This window comes from Homo sapiens, chromosome 1 (assembly GCF_000001405.40).
Source record: "Homo sapiens chromosome 1, GRCh38.p14 Primary Assembly".
NCBI lineage: Eukaryota > Metazoa > Chordata > Mammalia > Primates > Hominidae > Homo > Homo sapiens.
The window spans coordinates 29,612,334-29,638,242 of record NC_000001.11 but is presented as its reverse complement, the minus strand read 5'-3'; the positions used below and the strand labels follow the sequence as shown (position 1 = coordinate 29,638,242).

General features: G+C 47.3%; 1 long non-coding RNA gene across 3 annotated transcripts in view, besides 1 other annotated feature; it reads right to left on the bottom strand.

Moving 5' to 3' along the window:
• The window catches only part of LOC107984934 (uncharacterized), an 84,718-nt gene that overhangs the window by 51,055 nt on the left and 7,754 nt on the right, over nucleotides 1–25,909 (bottom strand). The window lies entirely within an intron of this gene.
• Nucleotides 2,326–2,529: a silencer, noted in NCBI's record as "fragment chr1:30108561-30108764 (GRCh37/hg19 assembly coordinates)". NCBI's record gives its function as "represses an EF-1alpha promoter that drives an FKBP-Casp9 reporter gene in an ReSE screen in HepG2 liver carcinoma cells {active_cell/tissue: HepG2}" and the evidence as "EXISTENCE:reporter gene assay evidence [ECO:0000049][PMID:32094911]".

Here is a 25,909-nt window from a genome sequence, read left to right as displayed (position 1 = left end):
TGCTACCTGCCTTGCAGAGCAGGTGTGAGGATAAAATGAGATGATGGATGCTAAACAATTTGCTTGGTCCTTGGCACTTAATAGATGCTCAATAAATGTTGCTTTTTTTCCTCCCCTGATAGGAGGAATAATAATCCCCCAAAGATATCCACATGCTAATCTCCAGAACCTATGACTGTGTTATTGATATGGTTTGGATATTTGTCCCCTCCAAATCTCATGTTGAAATTTGGTCCCCAGTGTTGGAGGTGAGGCCTGGTGGGAGGTGTTTGGGTCATGGGGACAGATCCCTTTTGACTGGCTTGATGAAAGAGGCTGGGCCGGGCGCAGTGACTCACGCCTGTAATCCCAGCACTTTGGGAGTCCGAGGCGGGTGGATCACGAGGTCAGGAGTTTGAGACCAGCCTGACCAACATGGTGAAACCCCACTCTACTAAAAACACAAAAATTAGCCAGGCATGGTGGTGCGCACCTGTAATCCCAGCTACTCAGGAGGCTGAGGCAGGATTATCACCTGAACCCGGGAGGCAGAGGTTGCAGTGAGCCAAGATCACGCCACCACACTCCAGCCTGGGTGACAGAGCAAGACTCCATCTCACAAAAAAAAAAAAAGAGAGAGAGAGCCTGGCAACTCCTCTTCTCTCTCCTGCTTCCTTCCTTTCACCATGTGATGCTGGCTCCCTTTCCCCTTCCACCATGATTGGAAGCCCTCACCAGAAGCAGGGGCTGAAACCATGCTTGTACACCCTCAGAACCATGAGCTAAATAAACCTCTTTTCTCGATACATTTCTCAGCCTCAGGTATTCTTTCAAAGCAATGCAAAATGGACTAAGACAGTTATATTATAAGGCAAAAGGGACTTTGCAGATGTGATTAAGGTCATGAACTTTGAGACAGGAGACTATATCAACCTAATTTGAGTGAATGAGGTGGGCCCATTCTAATCATATAAACTCTTAAAAGCAGAAGAAGAAAGCAGAGAGATAAGATGGGAGAAGACAGAGGAGAGACTCAGAGAGTGAGAGGGAGTCAACCTGCCATCACTGGATTTGACAGCAGAAGACAGGGGACATGAGCCAAGGAATGTGGGTGGCCTCTGGAATCTGGGAACACATTCAGCTGGCAGTCAGCAAGGAAATAGGACCTCAGGATCCTAAGGAACTGAATTTTTTTAACATCCCAAATGAACAAGGAGATAGACCCTCCCTCAGAGCCTCCAGGAGGGAATGCAGCCCTGCCATTTCCTTATTCTAGCCCTGTGATACCTGCACCAGACTTATGGCCCCCAGGACTATTGAGATAATGAATGTGTGCCATTTTTGAGCAGTTAAGTTTGTGGTGGTTTGTTAAAGCAACAATAGACACTCAGTACATCCTTCCTTCTGCCCAAGCTCTCAGGGATACAGGGATATGTGCACCCTTTCCCAAACCTGCCCCTGTCCTTCATGACTCTGTCCATGGAGGTGCCACAATGCTTCCACCTGGAGAACTCTTACTCACCCGTCAAAAACCCTCTTGCCAGTCACCCACTCTCCACAAGACTCCCATATGGATCCATGAGTGCTGGGCCAGGAACAGGCACAAATGTCCAATGCCCAGCAGTACACACAGTCTCTGTTCAGTGTTCTTAGAGTCAAACTTCTCCTGCCTTCCTACTTTACTGGCCTCTGTCCTTGAACCTCTGCCATTTCATCCAGCACTCAGCTCTGCTTGGTCTGCTCACATACTTGGTTGGCCCTCGAGGTCTAGGCCTGCTTTGACCAGGTCAGTGCATTTAATTCAGGGCCTGGGCAGCAGCAGATCCGTTGACCAGCAAACCTTGGCCACATTCTCCAACTCAACTTCAGCAGAAATAAAGGAGATATTTTGTGTTCCATGTGCCTGACTTGTGGGCCTTTCTTTCACTTGGTTCCTAATTCAGGTGAGGGAGTGCAGGTGTTATTAGATACACGGAAGGAGCTCCGTGTGCCCCCACTTCTCACCATCCCTGTGCAGCTGCCCAGCTCCCATGTGTCCCTTATGCCACAGAAGGCCACTGAAATGACCTCTTTGCTGCCAGAGTCTCCCTCCCAGTTCACCTGCCCCCAGGTGCCTTCTCAAAAGGCAACTGCCCTGAGCACATCCTCCTGCCGAAAAGAAACAGGACAATGAATCCCTGTGACCCACAGGTGACATGTAAACCCCACACCCAGCACTCAAGGATCCTCCTGCTCTGAGTCTTGCAGCTCCCAACTTCCTGTGCTGCTTCCCTTTTGCAGACACCAATGTTGCAGCAGTCCGGAATGCCGCCCTGACTGCAGGGCACCTGCACCTCTGTACCTCAGCCTCTGCACAGCGCTTCGGCCCTCCGTGTCCTCCCCGTTCTCTGCCTGGTGAATCTTGTACATCCTCTAGGACTCAGCCCAGAGGTGACCCTGCAGACCTGACTTTGACCTCTGCCCTGCACCTCCATCAGGGTAGGGTGTCCACTCTCCTCAACAACAACCTTTCACTGTGGTGGTCCATGAAGCCTGAGGGCAGGTGGGGCCTTTCTCCTCTGGACCCCCTCAGGGCTTCTCAGCCCCATCGCAGAGCAAGACCCAGCCCCCAACCACGCGTCATGTGTGGAGTCTTAAAGGCATCACAAACCAGACATGCACAAGCCCAAACTCATGAGCTCCCCCTGCAAACCAGCCCCCTTCTGGGACCCCTCCTTGCTGAGGGAATTGGAGTCCAGGAGCTGTTTACACCTGCAAGTTGGCCCAGCCAGGGGTCCTCAGACCCTGATGCTCAGTGGAACCAGCATTCTCACAACTAGACACCCCTAAAGACCCAGCAATGGGCAGAAGAGCCACACTGGCTGCACTGTCCTCGGACCCTCCAAAGCCAACCTATTCACTCTTTAATAAGGAGCCCAGGGAATGTCTACACAGGCCTCAGGCTGGGACCCAAATCACAGTGGTTATGAATTTCTAATCCCTTTCAAAGGCTCCAGTGTCCTCGGCAAACACAGCGCCATAGATCAGAGCCTCTTGCATCCCCCATGGGCTCCTTTCTAAATCAATAGATGAGAAGTCAGGGGAGCCAACCAGGGTGGGCCAGAGCGCAGGGCGGGCCTGCAGGAGGTGGATGGAGGGTGGGTGGTCTCATGGATGAGGCTCCTTGCTGTGGCACTCAGTCAGTAAGTGCCCTTTGCTGGGCAGATTTTACCACGGTGAGCCACATGTGGCTCAGATACTGGGAAGAAGTGTCTTTGCCAGCTGTTAAGAGGCCCACTGGATGGCCACCAATCACCAGGGCTGGCCAAGCCCCAGGGACGGATCCCAACAGGCCTGGGTTTGAGTCTGGCTCTGCCATCCACAGATGGAGTGGCCTCGGGCAAGTCTCATCACCTCTCAGAGCCTCAGTTTCCACACCTGGATAGGTGTGGGTGGAGTGGGAGGGGGAGGAGTAGGAGCTGGGCCCCACAGGGGCTTGAAAGCAGCTCTGGAGGTCTGGGTCTTTGCTTTAGGAGCAGGAGGAGCCCCTGAGGGGGTTTAAACAGTGGGAGGACTGGAGGGGTTTACATCTCAAACAGATCACCCAGGACTTTTATCTCAGCCCTGCTGTGGCTTGTGGGGACAAAACGGTAAAATGCTGCTGAAAAGTTTAGACCAGTGACGGCTCCAATCAGCTTCCAGGAAATGGCAGTAAATGTGTCAGGGTGGAGGTGGGTGCAGTGAGAGGTGGACCCGTGGACCCTGCAGCCCTGCCAGTCTGAGCATGTTACTCACATTTCACTGTGTCCTCACAGCGCCAAGTGAGACAGGTGTTATTACAACTCATTTTACAGGAGATGAAACTGAGGCTCAATCCTGGAATGGGAGGGACCTTCGAGGTGTGCCTCAAGGCCCACCTACACCCCTTTTACAAAAGAGAAAACTGGGGCCCAGAGAAGGGCAGTGGATTGCCCGTAGCAAACCGTCCAGTTCAGTTCCATTCTAGAACATTTAATAAAGACCAAGCTATTATCAGGGACTGAGAACACAGAAATGAACCAGGCACAGCCCCCACCCTGAAAAAGAATTCCTGTCTCTTAGCAGGGAGAGAGAAGCAGAAGTCCTAATATAAATCAGGAATTACAATTTAACATGAAATGAACCAGGCACAGAAATGATGCGGAGAAGAGATGAACTCCATGTAGGTCTGGCAGGGGTAAGGAGAGATAAATCAGGGAAGGATGCCGGGAGGAGGTGGCAGGGCTAGGACTGGAGAACTGAGCTCCTCCCTCCCCATCTGCTTCCCTCCAGCCTCAGGGAAGGAGGGGAGTCACGCAGGGCCGGGGCACATAGGGTCTGCAGGCTACATCAGGATTTTGGCATTCATCCAAGAGCAATGAGGAGACACAAAAGGGTTTTAAGCCAAGATATAACATGGTTGGACTTTAATTTTCAATGCATCACTTGGAACTGGAGGAATATAGTCATCTCTGCTATTTTTTCCCTCTAAAAACACTTTTTAAATTGTCAAAAACAAAAACGAAATGCCCTGTAATCTCACCTTGAGACATTTATTTCTAGATTTTTTACTTACCTAAATAAACATGTCAGTTTTACATAACAGGCATGCGCACATACACATATGTATTTTAAAACCCCTCTAGTTGATTTTTGTCCTTAACTGTTGCTGAGCGCCTACTATATGCCAGGCACAGTCCCTGGGACCCAGCAGTGAACAAGGCTAATGAAGGCCCACTGTGCTCAGCAGCTCCCAAGTCCTCAGCAGGAGTCCTGGTGCCCACAAGCAGCCACAAGCAGCCAGACACAGCGTGGGCTTCCCAGGGAGACACGCCTGGGGTGGAATCCAGCTCTGCTCGGCCACACACATGCTGGGTGAACTTGGGCAGGGGGCTTTACTTCTCTGTACCCTATGTTCCCAGCTATTAAATGAGGACTATAATCCCCACCAAACAGAAACAGAATGAAATGAGCCAGGAAAAGCAAAGCCCTGAAAAGTTTAATGACCAGAGGTCTCCCTCTGCTCCCCTGGCCCCTCCATGATGCTGTCAGAGCTCCAGCTGTGGGCGTCTTTCCAGCACCATCAGGATGTAGTTGAAACGTGGAATGGACGATGCTGGGCAGTCGGTTCACCCAGTTCCCTTTGAGTCCCCATCCCTCTGCCCAGGGTGTGATAGGAGCCTCTCGTTGATTTCAGCTGGGCTGTCCATGCTCTGACTCCCAGTGTTCAATGTCTCCTGAGGCCTCTGAGGCAAGAAGACACAGGACGGGAGGCTGGAGAGCCAGGGAGATGAGGGGCTGGGGTCTAGGAGACTGAGGGGCTAGGGGGCTGGGGCACTGGAGGACTGAAAGGATAAGGAGATGGGGAGCTGAAGGCTTCACAGGAGGAGGACTGAGGAGATGGGCAGCCGGAGGGCTGAGGGGCTGAGGGGCTGGGGGCTGGGAGGCTGGGGGACTGGGGGGCTGGAGGGCTGAGGGGAAGAGGGGCTGGGGAACTGGGGGACTTAGGGGCTTGGGGGCTGGGGGACTGAGGGACTAGGAGTTTGGGGGACTGAGTGGCTGGGAGGCTGGGGGACTGAGGGACTGAGGGGCCAGGAGGCTGGGGGGACTGAGGGACTGAGGGGCCGGGAGGCTGGGGGACTGAGGGACTGGGAGCTAGGGGACTGAGGAGATGAGGGGCTGGGGGACTAGCTCCTGCCCCACTTAGGACTGGGGTCTCAGGAAGGGGGCAAGTCTTGGCCTTAGCAGTGAGGAAGTTGGGGGCCTGGCTGGGAGTAGAGAGGATTGTCTGCTTTCAGCTGCACAGAGAACTAGGAATTCCCATCTTCACAGGGGAATCCAGAGAAGAGAACAGTGGTGGCAAGGGGCCTTGGAGCCAGGCAAGGACAGGGAAGGTCCTCCACCAGCCACTGCTCCTGTGAAGCCTGGCAGGGCATTAGGGTGAGCGGGCCCAGCCCTTCTTGCTGTTCCTGGTGGAGCAATGGGATGGGAAGTGAAGGGGAGGGAGACTGTTTTGTCACCATTTGAGCTGAGAAGGTCGTAGAACCTCGGAGCTGAGCAGGTCTTAGCTTTTGCTCCTTGGGTCCAGGTCGCTGCCTGGAATCCCCCCGGGGTCCAAGGATCGTTGGATGGGCACAAGGAACACAGCAGGGCACACACAACACTATGCTTATCCTCAGAGCCAGGAGTGCTCAGGAGTGGGGGCCGTGTGTACCCAGAGAGTCTAAGGCTTCCTGTGGAAGCAGACACTGCGGGCTCCAGCCCACTGTCCAGGCCACACCCAGTGTGGCCAAACCTCCTGATTTTTCAAGAGAAAAGGAAATTAGATTTTTGCATGTAAAATCTCACTTTTTAAACTTTGCCAACTCATTTAATTTTTTTCAAAAGGCATTTTAAGGGGGAAACAAAGCACATCAGCCATGTGGATGCATCCTGCCGGCCGCCCCTCTGCAAGCCCCGACCAAGTCAATTCACAGTGTACATGGCAAGTATGAGGTTTCTTTGTCTGGGGCCTTATGTGAAGTCCAGGACAGGACAGAGGGAGTCTCTCTCGCTCTCTCTTTCTCTCTTTGTCTCTCTTTCTCTGTCTCCATCTCCCTCTCTCTCTGTCTCTCTATCTCTTTGCGTCTCTCTGCCTCTCCCATACTTGGCATCTCCTCTCTGCCTCTCACTCCAGTCCTCCACCTCCACCCCCTCCTTTCTCTCCCTCCTTCCTTTCAGTGACTGTGTTTATTTTCAGAACCTCGAAAGTCTTCCCACGCCTCTGACATTTACTCTTTGGAATTAGAATATTTTCTATTTCTTTTTCCCAAAGCGAGGCTGTTGGGTAAGATTTCCCTGGGGTTCCTACCTGCCCTTCTGGAGGTGAAGTGCTGGGGCCAAAGCTGGCATAAGTCAGCCCAGCACTGACTGCGTCAGCCAGCAATTATTAGGCACCCACTGTGCACCAGGCCTTTCTCATGAATTATCACGTTCAGTCCATGTAAGAACTCTGGGGGGGGTTGGTGGTACCATCTGCACATATCAGATGCATGAACTGGAGGCTAAGTAATGAGTCTGTGCTCCTTCAGCAAGTGAGGGACGGAACAGGGATAAAACTCATACTTCTGTCACTCCAAAGTCCATTTCTTTCCTCTGTGCTCTGCTTGCAGGGTTCATGGGTTTACTGGTGCATTGAAGGGCATGCAGCATTTGGGCAAACCAAGAATTTGGGAGAGGGACATTCCAGACAGAAGGAACTACAAGAACCAAGGCCCAGAGTCAGGAATAGAACCTGTTTGAGGGGCCAGTCAGTGAGGCTGGTGCAGAAGCTTCAAGCCCTGGAACAGGAGAGGATGGGCACAGCTGCGGAGGCAGATTCTGCTTGTGTAGGCCAGGGTGTTCTGGTTGCAAGTGACAGAAACCTTAACTCATCCTCACTAAACTTAAAAGGAAATGCATTGACTCATCTAAGTGGGAAGTCCAAGGGGAGAAGGGGCTGCTCTCAGAGGGAAAATGTCCTCCTCAGTCAAGAAGAAGGAAGAGAAGAAGGGGGGGGGGGAGGAGGAGGAGGAGGAGGCAGAGGAGGAGGAAGAGAAGAAGGAGGAGGAGGAGGAGAAATAACTAACAGATCCCATGAATAAGCACATACCAAGAGTTTTCTTTGTTGCAGGCATTACTCTAAGCATTTTATATACATAACTCATTTATTCCCATAATTCTATGAAGTCCATGTTACTGTCTCCAGTCTATAGATGAGGAAACTGAGGCTCAGAGAGGCTAAGTAACTCCTTCAGAGCCACAGCCAAGCCAAGGTTTTGACCAAGGTAACCTGGCTTCACAGTCTGAGCCTTCACCACTGCACTGCACAGCCCCAAAGCAGGACTGTCAGTGAGCCTCATCAAGGTCCACCTCAACCACGAAGCTGAGTGGCTTCCTTCAGTAGGAGAAGAGCCCTCAAATGTTCCTAAGCAGGGGGCTCACATGATCAGGTCTGTGTCTGAGAAAGAGCACATGGCAACAGCATGACGGCAGGTCCTGGGGGGCAGGAGGTCTGGGCGGGAGCCCACAGGGACCTGACATGGGCAGGGCAGTGAGGAGCAAAAGGAGGGACCCATGTGAGATGCTTGTTCATCTCCCCTTGGCAACTTGCCTTTGTGCTAGTTGTACAGCCGCAAGCACAGGAGTTTGCTGTGACACCCAGCCTAGCTCTAAGGGTGCACCTGCATTGGCATCCTTTGCCAGTGATCCTTGCCTCCAGAGGGAAGCAGCCAGGGAGGGCCCCGCCTATGCTCCCCAGTGCCTGGCCATAGGAGCAGGCCTGGCTGCAGCGAGGGCCCCCAGCAGGCTTTGCCCAGCATGGATGGAAAGCACATGAGCGGCCTGTGCCCTGCCGCCCTGTCCTCCCTCAAAAGAAGAAGATAGGCAGAGGCCAGGGCTTCACTGGGGATCCAGTGGGTGTCAGGAACACAGCCTGTCTCCCTGGGTTCTATTCTGGACATTGGGCAGAAGGCTGGTTGGCTCCAGGTAAGATGGATGGAGCTGCTCTTCACAGGGTGACTGACTTTGCTGGAAACAGGAAGGTAAGCTGCTGCCCCATTTGGAACCTGAGGGGAAGCAGAGAACAGAATCTGGCTCTGGAGTGGGGAGAAGCAATTCCTTTCCACTGGCAGCATAGGGAGTGGCAGTGCAGACCCACTGTCATTCTTCCTCATTGTCACCCACCAGGGAACTCCAGGAGGCTCTGATCACCAAACACGGGTAAGGGCCATGGACTAATGGCATCCCTTTCCTCCGCTCCCAAGTGACAAACCCGGCTGTGCTGCTGAACTTGACCATCTCTTCTCATCATGCCTTGCCTCAGCCCAAAACCCATCACCGATGGAATAAAAATAAACCCACCCAGCACTCAAGATCTCTGATGATATGGCCCCATTTGATCATCCTGGGAGCTCCTGCCAGTTGTCTGGGCTGCAGCCAAATCAAACAACCTGCAGTTCATTTGTTCATTCATTTTTCCATTCATCCACAAACATTAATTGAGTGTCTATTATGTGCCAGCCTCCGTTGTTAGGGATACAGTACAGCGGTGAACAAGACAGGCACAATTGCCCCCACCCCAGGGGAGGAGACAGATGTTCCACAAGTAAAAACTGCACCTCATTCTAAAGCCCCTGCCCCTGTGCATTTACTCTTGCTGTTCCCTTCAACTAATCCATCTATTGACCTATGTATCACCTATGTCCATGTAATTCTGGACACACAACTATAATTGAGGAAACTCAGGCCCAGACCAGACAGAGACACTCTCCAAGTCCTGTTCCTCTTCCTTCTGTGTCTGCATCCCAGAGATGGCCCCAGCACCCCAGGCCGAAAACTTGTGTGTTGCACTTCCTTTCTTCTCTCCTCTCACTCTCCCCTGAAATCAGTCAAGACCTGTTAACTCTAAATCCTGACTCCCCTCCCCTTCTGCTCTAGTTCTGCACTGTGCGCTCTGTCCTGGTCCTCTGGGCCAGCCTCCATCCTGACCACACTGTTCTCAATTTCTCCATCCCCAATCGTGCCCGCACCAGCAGCTTGAGGGGGCTCTAATGCACAAATATGACCGGATGATTCTTCTGTTCAAAAGCATTTAATGGCCACCCAGAGTGATTCCAAAACTCCCCCACATGGCACCCAGGCCACCCAAGACCCATCTTCCATTTACTTCTCTGACTTCTGACCTTGCCTCTCCCTATCACAGACCATCTCAAGGTTCCCATTGCACCAGGTTCCCTCCTGTGGCCTCTGCTCATGCTGTTTCCTGTGCCTAGTGCACTTTCTACTTTTTCAAGGCCTTGCACAGGCATCAGCCCCTCTGCGAAGCCTTTCCTGATCCACAGTATGGGTTAGATCCTCCCATCATGTACTCACTCACTGCACTGTCCCTGCCCTATCAAGCCTCCCACTTTCCCCACCCTCTCCCACCCCCATGCTCTCCTCCAACACTGCTGGCCAGTGGGTGGCATTGCTCCATGCAGTGATTCAGGGATCCAGGCTCCTTTCATCTACAGTTCATGGCTCTGCCCTCCTCTAAGGCCTCAGATCCGTCTGCTTCCCCTGGCAAAGGGAAAAGAGAGAGTGGAGAAAGCACACTTGCTTCTTAATGACCTTGGCTCAAAAGAGACACACACATTGCTTACCCCAACCCACCAGTGAGAACTGGTCATGTGGCGCCACCCAGATGCAAGGGGAGCTGGGAAGTATAGTTCCAGCCTGTGCAGCCCCTTCCCATCTGCATCTCTGCACAGTCCCTTAAATCTGTTACTACCTTTTGGTCATCATCACTGCTTTAGTTTGCCCAGGCTGCTGCAATAGGGTACAACAAACTGGGTGGCTTAAAACAACAAAAGTATTCTGTCTCAGAATCAGGAGGCCAGTGGCCCAAATCAAGGTGTGGGCAGGGCTGTGCTCCGTCTGAAGATGCTGGGGAAGGATCTGTTCAGGCCTCTCTACAAGCTCATGGTAACCTCAGACATTCCTTGGCCATCTTCTCCCCATGTCTCCTCACATCATCTTCCCTCTGTATCATCTCTGTGTCCAAATTTCTTCTTTTTATAAGAACCTCAGTCATGTTGGATTATGGCCCACACTAATGACTAATGATCTCGTTTTAATTGGATTACCTCTGTAAAGGCCTTATTTTCTTTCTTTTTTTTTTTGAGATGGAGTCTCGCTCTGTCACCAGGCTGGAGTGCAGTGGCATGATCTCAGCTCACTGCAAACTCTGCCTCCCGGGTTCAAGTGATTCTCCTGCCTCAGCCTCCCAAGTAGCTGGGACTACAGGCACGCGCCACCATGCCCAGCTAATTTTTGTATTTTTTAGTACAGACGGAGTTTCACCACGTTGACCAGGCTGGTCTCGATCTCCTGACCTGGTGATCCACCCGCCTTGGCCTCCCAAAGTACTGGGACTACAGGAGTGAGCCACCACGCCCAGCAGACCCTATTTTCAAATAAGGTCACATTCCGAGATACTGAGGGTTAGGGCTTGAACATATTTTTTGGTAGTGGCAGGGACACAATTCAACTTATAATCATCATCATCTCCACTTCATTAGCTACACTGCTGCCATTTCTACCATCATCATCAACTACATCTTCTGGGGTTCTGGTGGAGGGTGGAAAGGGAGGTGGTTAAGAGTTCAGGCTTTGGGTCAGACAGAAGTGGATTAAAGTCCATCTTTCCATGGGCTAGGACTTCTTTCTTAGTCTTCCCAGAGGAGGCGATGCCCATGCAAAGTCTTGAAAAAGTAGGAAGTGGCCAGTGGGAGACAGAACACGCATCACGGTAGAAAGTGCAGGAGCAGGGCCCTGGGAGAGAAGGCCCCACCCGCACGGGGGAAGGGAGAGCAAGGGAGAGAAAGGTGCTGAGGAAGGACAGCAGCTCAGAAAAGAGTGTTTCCAGCTGGTCTTCAGCAGTACAGGTTTTGAAATGTGATTCTTGAAAAGCAACTCAATTGAAATGGAAATGTGTTATGATGGGTAAAACAGGGAGAAAATGGAAACCCCATATCCTTTCAAGACATATTTTATGTCACTCCTGAAAGGAGATCTCCTAATAAAAGTGGCCCAAAGCTCTAAGACGATGAAGATGAGCACGCCAAGCTCCAGCTGCAGTGATGCCAGCATAACTATAGCCGACCTCTGTCAATCTTAGCTGCTCTGGGACGCAGCCAGAGAAGAGGAGGTGCCTCACACTGAAAATGAGGGGGCTGGGAGGAGCCAGGAGCCCCACTTGCCATCAACTTGCTGAGTGACCCTGGGGAAGTCACTTATAGGCTCCACACCTCTTTTTCCTCTCCAACCTCCGGCAGACACAGCCCAACCTCCCTTCCCAGCCTCCCTCCTTGGAGTAGTCCATGCGGCTGAGCAGGGAAAGAAGAGAACACAAGAATTTATCAGCACTGCAGGGGCCCGGGCTGTGGTCCAATGTCCACCTTCCACAGGTATCAGTTACCGTTTCCTGCATCTCTGCTGAGTGCCCAGCCCCGTGGGAGGCCTCAGGACCCAGTGCTCACCTCCAACATCGCCGAGCAGGAGGCAGCTTCCTCTATGCAGCGATTCAGAGTCTGAAAACCCTTCCTGTTACTCTCTCTGTCTTTGGGGCTGTGGGACAGGCACTGTGCTGAGTGCTTTGCACACAGTGATTCAGTCAACCTCATGGCAACCCTATGAGGTCTGCACTGTTATGTCCCCATTTCACAGACAAGGAAACTGAATCTCGGGCTGGTTAAGTATTTGCCCAGTGTTACCTAGTTAGTGAGCTGGGATTTTGACATAGGTCCTCTGGCTCCAGAGTCAGTACCTCCAGCCCCTAACATTCATGCTAACATGCCTCTCATAATGAAAATAATAGCAACGGCCAACATGTACTCAGCACTTAATGTATGCCAAGTGCTGCACTAAGCACCTTACAGCCTTAACTTCCCGAGTCTCACATCTGCTCTAGGAATCAGGTATTATCATTAATCCCATTTACATTCAGAGGAGTTAGGTAACCTGCCTAATGTCACATAGCTGGCACTTTTCAGAAGAAAGATTTGAACCCAGAGCCTTCCCGTCATATCACAGCCCCACTATTCTCTGCTCCTCTCCAACCACGGATATCAAGAACCCATCACAGATAAAGAGAGGTAACATTTACGGAGCATTTACTAAGTGCCAGGCACACACCTTAACCCAGGGCCTGACATGTAGTCAGCACTCAAAACACATCTGTCAATGGGCTCACTTCACATCTGGGAACTCATTAAGGCCCAATAAAAGTACCCAAGTGGATCTAGTTTCCATTTTGTAAGAAGGGAGACTGAGGCTTAGAGAGGTTAAGTGACTTGGAAGAGGTGGGGTTAGGGTTTGACAAAGCTGGTTGGTTTGCAAGACACTCTCCAGGGTGGACCAGCCTCTCCCCAGTCTCACCCCATGGAGCTGGGTAAACATAGAGAGAAAGGGTCTCATGTCTCACAGCCTAGCTGACCTGTGATGGCCTAGTGGTTTTGCCAAGGTCTGAGGCTGGGAGCCACCGGCTGCCCTCTGGGTGAGGAGTCCAGTTGTATCCATTTTAATGTTCATGTAGCCAAACAAGAGCTTATGAATCAGCCCCATGTGTGCTCAGAAGCTGCAACAGCTGTGTTTGCTCCAATCATGCTTCATCCCCCAAAACTCCCTGACCCAGGCTGGTAGCCCCCACTCCAGTGGGGTCCAAGTCTCTGCCACGACATCTCCCTCCAGGCCTCACCTGGCCACAGCTCCTACACCCTTGGGGAGAAGCGACGATCCCTACCCTGTTCCTGGCAGCTCACTCGATGGTAAAGTCCCCTCTCCTGAGCTGGACTGTGCCTCCAGGAAGTTCCTCTTGAAGGCCTGGGCTCTGTGTCTGGGAACAACACAGAACAAGTAGAATCCCCCACCCAACAGCTTTCAGACAATGCCAACCATGTCAACAGCACCAACACCACTAAGCTGACATTTATTGAGCGGTCCCTGCCTGCAAGGCACGATACAGAAATATTCAGTCTCATTGTCTCTTTCAGCCTCTTAACATCCTGGGAGGTACAGGCTGTTGTTATCCAGTTGTACAAATAAGGAAACCAAGGCACATAGAAGCTAAAGGGTCTGCCCAAGACCATGCCAAATTGAATGCCCAATAAACACCAGCTGGTGTTGCCCTCTCCTCCCTTCCCCGCCCTTGGATCCTACTGAGGTAGTGCTAGGGAACCTTTCTTCATTCTTCTACAATCCTAGAATGACCCTTGGGCTACAGAACCAACCAAACCTGAAACCTCATTCACCCCTGGATTCTCGCCATGTGTACTGATGAATGTCATTACTATATAAGCCACTTTGAGGTGTGGCTTCATTTACTTGAAATCTGAGCATCATTATAGATACAAAGGCCATGATAATTTACAGGACTGATGTGATTGCGAAAAGATTATCAATGAAGTACGCACAAAGCCAGGAGAAAATAGAGACACCAACGTGATTCCGAATGCACACTATTGCCACCTCCTACCCATTTCTCATTTCACAGCTCTGAAAACATGTTTTGCACAGGACACCCCCTCTCTAACCCTCTGGCACGGTTCTGATGAGACCCACCCTCTGCACATGAGTAAACTAAGGCTGAGAGATGGAAAGTCACTGGACTGAGATAACTCAGCGAGCAAAGGGAAGGTCCCAGAAGTGGACCCAAGTTGTCTGATGCTGAATAGTGAGCCTTTCCCTACACTGTGATGCTCAGTTGTGCCTGGCATCAATGTGTTGCCTCTCAACTCCAAATCTAACCTCCTTTGCTCTTTTTTGGTTAGCAAAGCTAGACCCTGTAAACATTTTTCCTTTGCCAGTTGGCTTGATGGTAATCTTTGTCAATGGAGGGTTCTGGAAGGAAACAGCAGGAACATAGCAGTGGGGAGCATGCTTTCATGCCTGCTTCAGGAGTGCTGACTTCCAGGCAGCACCCAGGAGGAGACCCAGAAAGCACACCGAAGGGCCTGCACAGCCAAGCTCCAGCCACTGTGCTTCTCGCCACCACCAGACTGGTTCTGGAGACCCCTCTAAACCATACCCTGCAGCAAGCTTCCCCACCACCTGGACCAGCTCTAGCTGAGCCCTGAAGCAACTCTCTTGGACATTGGCAGAAGACGCGTCACGCCTTCTGAAGAAATCTGAATTTCAGCATTGGCGGGGAGTGGTGGAGAGGACTCTTCTAAGTTCCTCCTTCTTTCCCAGCTCACTCACCCGTAGCCCTAGGGGTAGCAGATGCTTTCTGTATTTGCTGTTTCTAGATCCTTCATATTCTATATCCTCTTAGTAGTTTACTAGTTAATAATTCTTAAAGATATTAAATTTTTTCTGTTCTAATTTGTGACATGGCTTCTATCTCCTGATTGGATCCTTACTGATACTGAACTGATGCCAAGAGTGCTCCCAGGAGACAGACCTTCAAAGGCAGCATCTTGATATTGGTTTGGTCATACCCCTGGACTTGAGCACAGTGCTAGCTCCTTGCTAATGGGAAGTGGACTACTAGTAACTCTCAGCAGGCAGTGGGTCACAATTAACTGAATCATCTCACCACTGGTTGATTGTGATGAGGTGCCAATTGAAGCAAGCACCTTGGAGCATGAGGGCCCCTTCAACAGGGGCACTGTGGCAATAATGACGATTTCAAGAACTGGGGTGTGTGATGGATGCTCCTGGATGCACTAAATCATGTACAGAAATAAGTGAAAAGCTCAGTTCCTTAAACTCTTAGCTCATATCATTACCTGAGAACCAGAGGGATCCCATGACAACCCTAAAAGAATTTATTTTTATAGCCACAGGACAGATATTGCTGAAAATCAAATACAATTTAATTGTGTGGGTTACAGAATGACAATGTCAATTGAATTCACTTATCAGATGAATCCCTCCTCCTCCTCCAAAGAAGTGCAAATGAGAGATGGGAACTGAAGCAAAAGCTTCTGGACAATGCTCCCAAGAGGGTGGAGGTTCCTATTTCCAGGGTCAGTGGGGAAAGGGGGAAAGGGAGAGAATGGTGTCTCCATTACACACACCACTAATAGAACACCAGTATGGCTACTGACTGCAGGAGCAGGTGAGGTCGGCTGAATGCCTTCCTGGGCCAACCCAGCTGAAGTGCACCCTTCCCCTCCCTTCCCCTCGAGAGGGCACACTGGAACCCAGGGAAGAGGTAAGGGAGGCAGAGTGTCTGCCAGGCTCCCAGGAGAACCCACCCCAGGGCTTCCTGGAATGGGGGTGAATGGTTTCCCACAAGAGAAAGTGCTTCAGCTCTTTGTGCCCTGAAAGGATTGATCTTTCTTTTTTTATGCCAAGGTTCAAAGTGCCCAATTTAATACACAGAAGATTTTACACTCAGTTGTTAGACAAGAGTGAGGTCAGTAAGGGCTAATGGGGACCATTTCCAACCACAAATGTGGTCACAGCTGCTGCCAAGGGAAGGGCTTTAGCAGCCACGGCCTGTCTGGTACTCAGGCCTTGACAGTGAAGGTTTGCGTCGGATTCATTGTGGCAGCCAATGCTTTTCTCTGAATTATCTTTCCGCATAAGCTGCTGTGGATCTGGCTGTGACCTGTCCAAATTCAGATGTTTGGGATCCCAGGAAACAAATTGGTTGAGGAAACCAAGCCACTACCACCCCCGCACCCCGGTGACAGAAGCACCTTCAATACGGACAGCAAAGAATCGCAATGGCCTTGGCAATTTCCTGGAAGTGGAGTAGGATCTGGGAGATTGCCTGACTGCGGGGCCTAAATCTCCCTGCTCCAATGCCTTCAAAGGCTCCCTGCAGCCCTGGTTAGAGAAACAGAACGTCTCCTGGGCCCAAGCTTGCCCCAGTCTCATGTCACCCCACTGCTCCTCACTTTATCTGCTCCAAACACACTTGCCTCCTGGCGTTGCTGACCTGCCAACCCAGAGCCATTGCACATGCTATTAATTTTGCCTAGAATGCTTTTTTCCTTCCTCTTACCTGAGAAACTCCTCTTCCTCACTTCCTCAAGAGAGTTTTCCCTGACCACTTACTACAGCTCTAACTGTGCATGCATTTATGATTTATTTCTGATGTTGCCTGCTCCCACTGTAGTCTAAGCTCCAGGAGGGCAGGAACCGTATCTGATTCTGCTCTCTGTTATATCTCCAGCAGCTAGCACAGCGACCATTGCAGAGTGAATATTTAATAAATATTGAATGAATGAATGAATGAATGAATGAATGAACAAGGAGACCAACAGTAGTCACCATAGATGGATAAGGCTCTGCCAATGTAAACATTAACTGATTATCTAAATATTCCATGGTCTCGCCAGCTTGAGGGATCCCAGAGCTAAGACATGATTCAAGAGAGCACTGTGAGAGATCCAGATCGAGGCAAGAAAAGAACCACATGTCAGTGCCAAGGTTGAGAAAGATGGAGAGGAAAAGGGGTTTTGGGGGTGGGAGGAATGGTGAAAAGGGCAAAATGGGCCCTTCTCCTTCCCATTCCCACTGCCAGTCCCACCTCAGTTCCCAGAAACACTCCCTTTATCTATATTCCTGAGTGGGGTGGGTCTGCCACTGCCCATCTCAGTAGTCTCCTGTCTTCCTTTAGAAACTGAACCTCAAATTGCAGCCTTGTAAATCGCTGCTCAGAAAAGACAACATTTCCCAAGTCTGAAAAATCTACACCTCAGCCCATTCCCCCTGCCTTGAGTTGGGCAAAGCCAGACCACAGAGTGGGGGAAGGGGAAGGGAAGGGACACTTATGGGGCCACTGATGGGAAGGACAGTTTTGGCTATCCGGCTCCTGCCCATCACACCCTCCGAGAGAAGCCTCTGGGCAGGGCTCAAGGACCCAGTTCTTACTGCAGGGCCCGCTCTGGCCCCTGTCACCAGACCTAGAGGAGTCATCAAATAAATCCAACATTTAGATAAGGGGGTCGGGGTGGGCTACTGCAGCTGACATTTTCCTGAAATCCAACAGCAATAACAGAGAAAAATGGGCCAGCTCACTCCAGATAACCACCGCCAGAGAAGTAATTACCCTACTTCTGGTCCTGAGCGAGGATACTGGCGCCAGAGGCACCTGCACAGGTAATTCATCAGCCCTAGATTTGTGGACAGAGTCCGCCCTCTAGTTCACTTGAGACAATGCTATTTAGATTTTGCAAAGATTATTGCTCTTCTCTGCCATCCCTGAGTGGGGAAGCAGGCTCCTCTGTGAATCCACTGTGAATACTGGCCTGCTGGTGCCAACTCAGAAGACAAATCCTCACACGTGAGCCAGTTGTTTCCAGCTTCCTGAGACCTCCCCAGGGCTTGGTTCCTCCCTCTCCTTGTCATGGAGCTGCTGGTGTGACACCAGGCAAACAAAGAGCCCAGCTTTGTGCTCATAAGGGATGAGGCTGTGTCATATAGAAAGTGCCAAAAGCCTCTGTTTTCTCATCTGTAAAGTGGGAATAAAGGTGTGAGATGATGGGGGCTCTCACTTTCTCTGCTGTTTGAAGTTGTTTTAATGAGCATATATTTCTTGTTTTTTTTTTTTTTTTTTTTTTTTTCTGAGTTGGAGTCTCACTCTGTCACCCAGGCTGGAGTGCTGTGGTGCGATCTTGGCTTGCTGCAACCTCTGCCTCCTGGGTAATGAGCATATATTTCTTTGGTATGGAAAAAACTAAGCACAATGAAAAGATAAATAAAATGAAGTGGCTGGGCACGGTGGCTCACACCTGTAATCCCAGCACTTTGGGAGGCCGAGGTGGGCGGATCACCATGTCAGGAGATCGAGATCACCCTGGCTAACACGGTGAAACCCCTTCTCTACTAAAAATACAAAAAATTAGCCGGGCATGGTGGCGCGCGCCTGTAGTCCCAGCTACTCGGGAGGCTGAGGCAGGAGAATGGCGTGAACCCGGGAGGCGGAGCTTGCAGTGAGTCGAGATCGCGCCACTGCGCTCCAGCCTGGGCGACAGAGCGAAACTCCGTCTCAAAAAAAAAAAAAAAAAAAAAAAAAAGAATACTTACGACTCAATAATATAATAAGATGACAAAAAAATTAAAAATGGGTGAAAGACTGGAGTAGACAGTTCACCAAAGAGAGTATATGAATGGCTAAGTAACTCATAAAAACATGCTCAACTAATGAATTAGTAAATGCAAACTAAAGCCACAATGAGATGCCAATACATACCCACGTGATGTCTATAATTTTCAAAGACAACATCAATGTTAAGAATGTGGTGAAAGAGGAACTCTTGTATGTGTTTTTTTTTTTCATAACAGTGACTTTACTCTTTACAAGTGGATGATACCAGACTTCGAAAATTGGCAAATTTTTCAAAATAATTTTTCTTTGTGTTTGGAAAATGTGGTCTCATCTTAACATCACTTTTTTATATTTTTTTAAAGTTTTATTTTAGGTTCAGTGGTACAGGGGCAAGTTTGTTATAAGGTAAACTTATGTCACAGATTATTTGATCACCCAGGTACTAAGTCCAGTACCCAATAGTTATTTTTTCTGTTACTCTTCCTCCTCCCACCTTCCACCCTCAGGTAGGCCACAGTGTCTGTTGTTTCCCTCTTTGTGTCTATGTGGCACTCTCATATATTACTGTTGGAAATGTAGGAATGTAAAAATGATACAATCACTTTGAGAAAACAGTGTGGCAGTTTCTTAAAAAGCTAAACATAAACTTACCATTAGACCCAGCAATTTCATGACCAGGAATATACCCAAGAGAAATGAAAATATATGACCATAAAAAGATTCATACTCAAACATTCATAGCAGCATTATTCATAATAGCCAAAATGTGGGATCAACACAAATGTCCATCAACTGGTAAGAGAATACACAAATGTGACTTTCATCCAATGAAATATCTCAGCAATAAAAAGGAATGAACTACTGATACATACTACTGAGGATGCACCTTTAACATGTTATGCTAACAGTCCAGATGCAAAAGACTACATGTAGGAGGACTCTCTTTATATGAAATGCCAAACATTTAAAAAGCAAATTTATAGAAATAGACATGAGACCAGCGAATGCCTGGGATGCTGGGGAGTTGTGGAGGGTGGGGATGAACTATAAACGAACATAGGGGAACTTGTTGAGTCATAGAAATGGTCACCACTGGACTGTGATAGTGGTTGCACAACTCTGTAAGTTTATTAAAAGTCATTGAATTGGCTGGGCGCGGTGGCTCATGCCTGTAATCCCAGCACTTTGGGAGGCCGAGGTGGGTGGATCACCATGTCAGGAGATCGAGATCACCCTGGCTAACACGGTGAAACCCCTTCTCTACTAAAAATACAAAAAATTAGCCGGGCGTGGTGGCGGGCGCCTGTAGTCCCAGCTACTCAGGAGGCTGAGGCAGGAGAATGGCTTGAACCCAGGAGGCGGAGCTTGCAGTGAGCCAAGATCGTGCCACTGCACTCCAGCCTGGGCAACAGAGTGAGACTCCATCTCAAAAAAAAAAAAAAAAGTCATTGGATTGCATTCTTTTACAATTTTTTGTTTCATAATAATTATACACATTTATGGGGTTTGTGCAATCTTTTGATAATGCATACAATGTGTAATGATCAAATCAGGGTATTTAGGATGTCTATCACCTCAAACTTTTATCATTTCTTTGTGTCAGGAATATTTCAAATCTTCTCTTCCAGCTATTTAAAAATATACAATATATTGTTGTGAACTATAGTCACCTTCCTGTGCTATCAAACACTAGAACTTCTTCCTTCTATCTAACTGGGTTTTTGTACCATTAACCAACCTTTCTTCATCACCACCCCCTCCCCCGCCAAACTGTACTTTATAAATGGTTGAATATTATTGTTAATTATATCTTAATAAAAATATTTATTTAAAAATACTACATAAGTATGCCCCACAGAGATGGCTAAATGAGGAAAATGGTAAGGAATAAACACAAGTTCTCTGTCTTCTGTTTCTCTCCCAGCTTTTGCTTCCTTCTAAGAAGAGACAGGAGATGGAAAGCAGCCTCAGTGATTTGCATCAGTCTTAGCATGAAGGCAAAACTCCCCTGCTCATAGGATAATGGCAGAACTCCAGCATGGCCAGGCCCTGCTCCTCCTTACCCTTACCTTCCACCACATTCCCACCCCTTATTTCCACCCTCAAACACACTGACCTTCTTTCAGAACAGCATATTGGCATAGTCCCATTTCACTTTCTGCCCAGCTAACTTCTACTTAATCCTCAGACCTCAGCTCAGTTGTCTCTCACTGGGTAAGTCTTCCTTGATTTCCTGGGCTAAGTCAAACTCCTCTACTCATTGATATCATAGACCTCACACCTTTCTCCTTTATATAACTTATCACAACAGCAACTTTTCCTTTATTTGAGACATCATTTGATTAATGTTAGCCCAGTCCCTATGAAAATAGGAACCATGTCTACTTTGCTCACCAGTGTATCCCAGGGCCCAGCACAGTGACTGGCACAAAGCAGATGCTCAGTTACTTGTTAAATGACTTGCTGAAAGTTAAAATTCAAAACTTCTTAAGATTAAGTGATTGTAGCACCCAAACTTTTCTCATTTTTAGATGTAATAAGCCATCAAATTATGCAATTATGTCACTGAAATATGTCATGTGTCAGAGAGCCAAATACTACAAAACACTGTTAAAACCTGATCTTGTAGTTTGTAGTTTCATTACTTAAGGAGTTTTTTTCCTCCTCCTAGCAAAGAAAAAAAGGAAAGAATATACAAATTACCAATATCAGAAATTAAAGAATGGTCACCACTATTGATCCCATGGACATCAATAGGATAATAAGGGACTAAGAAGGAAATAACTCTGCATACACAAATTGAATAACTTAGATGAAATGAACAATTTCCTTGAACGATACAAACTACCAAGACTCATAGAAGGCCAGATAACCTAAATAGACCTATATCTATTAAAGAAATTGAATCAATAATTGAAGACCTTCCAAAAAAGAAAACGCCAGGCCCAGATATATTTACCAATAAATTCTACCAAATATTTAAGGAAGAAATATTACCAATTCTCCAGAAATCTTTCAGAAAATAGAGGCAGAGAGAACATTTAACTCAGTCTGTGAGGCCAACATTATCCTAATACCTAAACTAGATAAAGACATTATAACAAAAGTCAGATCAATATCTCCTATGAACATCATAGACAAAAAAATCATCAACAAAATATTCGCAAATCAAACTAATTGTATATGAGAAGAATTACACATGACAACCAAGTGGACTTTATTCCAAGTATGCAAGGATAGTTCCACATTTGCAAATCAGCCAATGTAGTCTACCATATCAGGAGGCTAAAGAAGTCATATGATTATATCAATTGATGCAGAAAAAGCATTCAACAAAATCCAATACTCATTCATCATCATCAGAAAAAAAAACAATTCTCAGCAAACTAGGAGTAGAGGAAAACTTCCTCCACTCAATATAGAACATCTAAATCCACAGCTAACATCATATTTAATGGTGAGACTAAGATCGAGAATAAGGTAAGGACATCCTCTCTCGCCACTCTATTCAACATTGTACTGGAAGTCCTAACTAGCACAATAAGACAAGAAAAAGAAATAAAAGGTATATCTGTCTTTATTCACTGATGGCATAATTGTTTATGGAAAAATCCTAAAATTCTGCAAAAAAAAATCTCCTAGAATTAATAAGTAAGTATATCAAGGTCACAGGATACAAGGTCAATATACAAAAATCAGTTGCTTTCCTGCATACCATCAATACACATTAGAATTTTAAGTATTTTTTAAAATACCATTTATAATAGCAATGAAAAATGAACTATTTAGCTATAAATCTAACAAAATATGTACAGGATCTATATATTTAAAAATTCTAAAACATTGATAAAAGAAAGTTTTAATGACCTAAATAGAAGAGATATTCCATGCTCATGGATTGAAAGACTCAATATTCAATTTTTTCCAACTTGATACATAGACTCTATGCAATAACAATCAAAATGCTACTAAAATATTTTATAAATATTGACAAACTGATTTTAAATTTATATAGAAAGGCAAATACGTATTTGCCTTTCTATATTGTATTGACTAGAATAGCCAATACAATACTGAAAAAGAACAACGTTGGAGGACTCACACAATCCATTATCAAGACTAACTATAAAGCTACAGTAAACAAAACAGTGAAAATTAGACACACAGATCAAGAGACCAGAATAGAGAGCCCAGAAATAGACCCACACAAATATAATCAACTGGTTTTTTTACAAAGGAGAAAAGCAATTAAAAATGGTGCTTAAACAATTGGACTTCCATATGCAAAAACAAAAGAAAACAAAAAAAAGAACCTAGGCACAGACCTTACATCTTTCACATAAATTCATTCAAAATTGGTGACAAATCTAAATATAAAATGCAAAACAATAAAATTCCTAGAAGAAAATGTAGGAAGAAATCTAGATGACCTTGGATTTTGCAATAAGTTTATAGTTACAACACCAAAAGCATGATACATGGGGGAAAACTGACAAGTTGAGTTTATTAAAATTAAAAGCTTCTTCTGTAAGAAAGACACATTTTAAAAATGAAAATATAAGGCAGAGACTGACAGAACACATTTGAAAAACACATATCTGGTAAAAGATTTGTATCCAAAATATATGAAGAACTCTTAAAATTCAATAATAAAAAAACAACCTAATTTAAAAAGGAGCAAAAGATCTGAACAGACTCTTCACAAAAAAAGGTAGCAACTAAGCACCTGAAAAAATGCTCAACATAATTTGTCATTAGGGAATTGCTAATTTAAACAACAACGAGTTAACATTACACACCTATTAGAAGAGTTAAAAGCCAAAAAGAACTGAGGATGCCCGTTGCTGGCAGGGATGTGGAGCAACAGGAACTCTCATTCATTACCAGTGGGAATGCAGAATGGTACAGCCCCTTCAGAAGACAGGTTGGCAGTTTTTCACAAAGCTAAACATAGTCTTACTATAAGGCTCAGAAGCCATTCTCCTAGGTATTTACTCAACTGATTTGAAAATTTATGTCTCCACAAAACATCCATACAAATGTTTGTAGCAATTTTATTCATAATTGCCCCAAACTGCAAGCAACCAAGATGTCCCTCAACAGGTAAATAAACTATGATACATCCATAAAATGGGATATTATTTAGCAATAAAAATAAATGAGCCGCCAACCCTTGCAAAAACATGGATGCATTTTAAATACATAGTCAAGGGAAAGGGGCCTATCTGAAAAGCCTACACCTCTATGATCCCATTTACATGACATTCTGGAAAAGACAAAGCTACAGAGATGATAGATCAGTTTCCTCAACACACGCACTTGCACATCTCAAAGACACCTCAAACTTAACTTGTCAAATATGGAATTTGGTTTTCCCTTCTATACCTGGTCCTCTGTTGTCACTGTGTCTGTGGATGGCACCTCCACCCACTCACCCAGTTACCCAAGTTGGACACTCAGGAGTCACCCTGATACTTCCCTCTCCCTCACCTCCAACATCCAGCCTCTCACCAAGTCTTGATGATACTGTCTCCTAAATATATCTTAAATCTGCCTGCTTTACTGCTTTTCTGTGTCCACTTTCCTACATCCAGCTCATCATCTCGTCTGCATGACTGTGTCATAACCGGTATCCCTGCAGTCTCTCTGGTCACTCTCACTCCAGTGCATTCCCCACTCTTCAGCCACTGTGATTTTGGAAAAGCAGTTCTCATCATGTCATCCCTCCATGTACAGATATTTCAATAGCATCTAGTTTCCCTTGAGTTAAAAACAGAGTTCTTTGGCCTTTCAAATCTCATATGGCTCAGCCTCTGCCCATCTCTCTGGGTCATCTCTCAGCATAATCCCTGTCTCCACCCTGGGCTCTGGCCTCACTGGGCCTTTGTACCAAAGTGATAAAGTTCCCTCCTCCATGACCAATGGTTCCTGACTCTTCACTCTCACCCATCTCAGCTGCACTCAAAGCTCATCTACCAAAACCCATCATTTTGCAGGAAAACAAACAAATAAAAGGAAAGCTATCACTGCAACATGGCCACAGGGATTCACAATCCCCAAACAATAGAGGTATAAGCAGGTTCTAAAATAAAAAGGACAACTTGAGGGTGAAATAGGGCAGGGTGTGTGCCTAGTGGGGTTCCTGAAAACTCTAAAAAGGTGCTGCTTACTCCTCATCTGCCTTCTCTGGGTGTACCTGGGACTTGTTTTCATTAATGGATTTTTCATGGTAGCTTCAAAAACCATCCTGTCAATATGTTACCCAATGTTTTTCAAAAAGCTGCTCTTTGGTGGAATATGTCCAGTAATAATAGAAGTTGGTAGCCTAGCTATTCCCTCTCCCATCTCTCAGCTACCCTTCTGTCTATAGTCGAGCCCCTTCTGGCTACCCCTCCAGCCTGGGAGCCGAGGAGCAACTCTTCATTCTGAACTGCTGGTTCGATTTGCTTATGCTTAGCCTTGCCAAATTGCCTGTGGCATCAGCTCCCCAGGTAAGTTCTTCTTAAAAGCTTCCTCACTGAGAGAGCTGACAGGGTCAGTTTCCTTTTGAACACATATCTTTTTTTTTTTTTTTTTTTTTTTTTTGAGATGGCGTTTCGTACTTGTTGCCTAGGCTGGAGTGCAATGGCGCCATCTTAGCTCACTGCAACCTCTGCCTCCCAGGTTCAAGCGATTCTCCTGCCTCAGCCTCCCGAGTAGCTGGGATTACAGGTGCCCACCACCACACCTGGCTAATTTTTTGTATTTTTTTAGTAGAGACAGAGCTTCACCACGTTGGCCTGGCTGGTCTCAAACTCCTGACCTCGTGATCCACCCATCTTGGCCTCTCAAAGTGCTGGGACTACAGGCATGAGCCAGCGCCCAGCCTGAACGCATATCTTAATCATCTTTGCTCCCCCACAGTGCCACAGTGCCAAGCACAGTGTCTGATTTTAGTAGTAACGTGAAGATACTGGTTGAATTGGACAAAACTTGAAACAGAAAATGAGCACATTTTTTGCAGTTGCACTGGAGTGCTAAAGTCAAAATAAAATATAAGGACGAATCTCTAAATTAAGCATTTCATTTGGGAATCACAGAATTGCCATTTGCGGTATACACACATACTGGAGTGGTACATCCAAAGAAGAAAGAGAAGGTGGAAGGTTTTATTAGAAAGAGAAATGTGCCAGGCACAGCAGCTCACACCTGCCTTGGGAGGCCAAGGCAGGCGGACCACTTGAGCCCAGGAGTTTGAGACCAGCCCGGGCAACATGATGAAACCCTGTCTGTACAAAAATATAAAAATTAGCTGGGTGTGGTGGGGCTCCCATGTAGTCCCAGCTACTCAGGAGGCTGAGGCAGGAGGATTGCTTGAGCCCGGGAGGCAGG